Here is a 4,038-nt window from a genome sequence, read left to right as displayed (position 1 = left end):
CATAAACTCTCTGTCATGGCCTGGAGACATTTTCTCCACTGTCATAGCTATTAACTTTCAGTTTCTTGTTACTTAAGCAAATTTCTGCAGCCAGCTTGAATTTTTCCCCAGAAAATGGATTATTATTTTCTACCACATGGTCAGGCTGCAAAATTTCCAAAATTTTATACTCTGTCACCTCTTGAATGCTTTCCTGCTTAGAAATTTCCTTTTCTAGAAATACCTAATGTAGATGATGGGTTGATGGGTGCAGCAAACCACCCATGGCACATGTATAACTATGTAACAAACCTGCACGTTCTGCACATGTATCACAGAACTTAAAGATAAAAAAAGATACTTCTTTCACCAGATACTCTAAATCATCTCTCTCAAGTTCAAAGTTCCACAGGTCTCTAGGGCAGGGGCAAATGCTACCAGTTTCTTTGCTGATGCATAGCAAAAGCGACCTTTGCTCCAGTTCCCAAGAAATTCCTCATCTCCATCTGAGACCACCTCAGCCTGGACTTCATTGTCCATATCACTATCTGCATTTTGGTCAAAACCATTCAACAAGTCTCTAGGAAGTTCTACCTTCCCATATCTTCCTATCTGCTTCTGAGCCCTCCAAACTGTTCCAACCTCAGCCCATTACCCAGTTCCAAATTTGCTTCCACATTTTCAACTATCTTTATGGCAGTACCCCACTCTTTGAGGTACCAATTCTCTGTATTAGTTCATTTTCACACTGCTATAAATAAATATAAGAAACTGCAATTTATAAAGGAAAGAGAGTTAATTGACTCACAGTTCCACATGGCTGGGGAAGCATCAGGAAACTTATACTCATGGCAGAAGGCAAAGAGGAAGCAAGTACCTTCTTCACATGGTGGCAGGAGAGAGAGAGAGAAGCCCAGGGGAAGCTATTTATAAAACCATCAGATCTCGTGAGAACTCATTCACTATCACAAGAACAGCATAAAAGGAACCGCTCCCATGATCTAATCACCTGCAATCAGGTCCTTCTCTTGACACATGGGAATTATTGGGATTACAATTAGAGATGAGATTTGGGTGAGGACACAGCCAAACCATATTATTATATGACCCAGCAGAAATGAAAATATATGTTCAGGCAAAAGCTTATATATTCACAGAAGCATTATTCATAACAGCCAAAAAAAGTGGAAAAACCCAAATGTCCATCAACTGATGAATGGATTTTTAAAATGTGGCATATCCATACAACGGAATATTATTTAGCAATAAAAATAAATGAAGAATGATACATGCTGCAACATGGATGAACCTTGAAAATATTAAGTGAAAGATACTGGATGTAAAAGACTATGTATTGTATGTTTCCATTTAAACACAATGTACAGAATAGGTAAATCATTAGAGACTGAAAGTAGATTAGGGGTTGCCTAGGGTTGGAGTTTGGAGTGGAAGGAAATGGGAGAGACAACTAATGGGTATAGAGTTTCTTTTGGAGTGACAAAAATGTTCTATAATTGATCGTGGTGATGGTTGCACAACTCTCTGGCTATACTGAAAACCACTGGATGGATGAATTTTATATGTGAACCAGATCTTAATGAAACTGCTACAAAACATAATGAAAGAGAGATAAAGGCTTGGAATATGAGATATATTATATGATGGTAACCACTAAGTGGATGAAAGAAATCCTGCTATGAGATGGATGCAGTGGCTCACGCCTGTAATCCCAGCACTTTCGGAGGCCAAGCCAGGTGGACTGCTTGAGGCCAGGAGTTTGAGACCAGCCTGGGCAACATAGTGAGACCCTGTCTCTACAAAAAATACAAAAAATTAGCCGGGCATGGTGGCACATGCCTGTAATCCCAGCTACTTCGGAGGCTGAGGCATAGTAATTGCTTGAACACAGAAGGCAGAGGTTGCATGAGCTGAGATCATGCCACTGCACTCCAGCCCAGCTGACAGAGAGACTCTGTCTCAAAAAAAAAAAAAAAAAAAAAAAACAAGAAATCCTACTATGATAACTGTGCAAGAGGCTGACAAATAAGAGAGTAATAAACACAAATTCACAAAAGAAGACTTACAAATGGGGGCGAATAGGAACAGCTCCAGTCTACAGTTCCCAGTGTGAGTGACACAGAAGATGGGTGATTTCTGCATTTCCAACTGAGGTACTGGGTACATCTCACTGGGGCTTATCGGACAGTGGGGACAGGACAGTGGGTGCAGCCCACCAAGCGTGAGCCAAACCAGGGTGAGGCATTGCCTCAGCCAGGAAGCCCAAGGGGTCAGAGAATTCCCTTTCCTAGACAAAGGAAGCAGTGACAGATGGCATCTGGAAAATTGGGTCACTCCCACCCTAATACAGAGCTTTTCTAATGGTCTTGGCAAATGCCACACCAGGAGATTATATCCCGTGCCTGGCTCAGAAGGTCCCACGCCCACAGAGCCTCGCTCATTGCTAGCACAGCAGTCTGAGATCAAACTGCAAAGCGGCAGCCAGGCTGGGGAGGGGCACTTGCCATTGCTGAGGCTTGAGTAGGTAAAGAAAGTGGCAGGGAAGCTCAAACTGGGTGGAGCCCACTGCAGCTCAAGGAGGCCTGCCTGCCTTTGTAGACTCCACCTCTGGGGGCAGGGCATAGCCAAACAAAAGGCAGCAGAAACCTCTGCAGACTTAAATGTCCCTGTCTGACAGCTTTGAAGTGAGTAGTGGTTCTCCCAGCACGGAGTTTGAGACCTGAGAACGGACAGACTGCCTCCTCAAGAGGGTCCCTGACCCCTGAGTAGCATAACTGGGAGGCACCCTCCAGTAGGGGCAGACTGACACCTCACATGGCCAGGTACCCCTCTGAGACGAAGCTTCCAGAGGAACGATCAGGCAGCAACATTTGCTGTTCAGCAATATTCGTGGTTCTGCAGCCTCTGCTGCTGATACCCAGGCAAACAGGGTCTGAAGTGGAAGTTCAGCCAATTCCAACAGACCTGCAGCTGAGTCCTGATTGTTAGAAGGAAATCTAACAAACAGAAAGGACATCCACACCAAAACCCCATCTGTACGTCACCATCATCAAAGACCAAAGGTAGATAAAACCACAAAGATGGGAAAAAAACAGAACAGAAAAGCTGAAAAATCTAAAAATCAGAGCACCTCTCCCCCTCCAAAGGAACGCAGCTCCTCACCAGCAACAGAACAAAGCTGGACAGAGAATGACTTTGACAAGTTGAGAGAAGAAGGCTTCAGACGATCAAACTTCTCCGAGCTAAAGGAGGAAGTTTGAACCCATCAAAAAGAAGCTAAAAACCTTAAAAAAAAATTAGATGAATGACTAACTAGAATAATCAGTGTAGAGAAGTCCTTAAATGACCTGATGGAGGTGAAAACAATGGCATGAGAACTACGTGACGAATGCACAAGTTTCTGTAGCCTATTCGATCAACTGGAAGAAAGGGTATCAGTGATTGAAGATCAGATGAATGAAATGAAGTGACAAGAGAAGTTTAGAGAAAAAAGAGTAAAAAGAAACGAACAAAGCCTCCAAGAAATATGGCACTATATGAAAAGACCAAATCTACGTCTAATTGGTGTACCTGAAAGTGACAGGGAGAATGGAACCAAGTTGGAAAACACTCTGCAGGATATTATCCAAGAGAACTTCCCCAATCTAGCAAGGCAGGCCAACATCCAAATTCAGGAAATACAGAGAATGCCACAAAGATACTCCTCGAGAAGAGCAACTCCAAGACACATAATTGTCAGATTCATCAAAGTTGATATGAAGGAAAAAATGTTAAGGGCAGCCAGAGAGAAAGGTCGGGTTACCCACAAAGGGAAGCCCATCAGACTAACAGATGATCTCTCAGCAGAAACTCCACAAGCCAGAAGAGAGTGGGGGCCAATATTCAACATTCTTAAAGAAAAGAATTTTCAACCCAGAATTTCATGTCCAGCCAAATTAAGCTTCATAAGTAAAGGAGAAATAAAATTCTTTACAGACAAGCAAACGCTGAGAGATTTTGTCACCACCAGGCCTGCCCTACAAGAACTCCTGAAGGAAGCAC

This window comes from Homo sapiens, chromosome 5 (assembly GCF_000001405.40).
Source record: "Homo sapiens chromosome 5, GRCh38.p14 Primary Assembly".
Lineage (NCBI taxonomy): Eukaryota > Metazoa > Chordata > Mammalia > Primates > Hominidae > Homo > Homo sapiens.
This window is presented reverse-complemented; position numbering follows the sequence as displayed.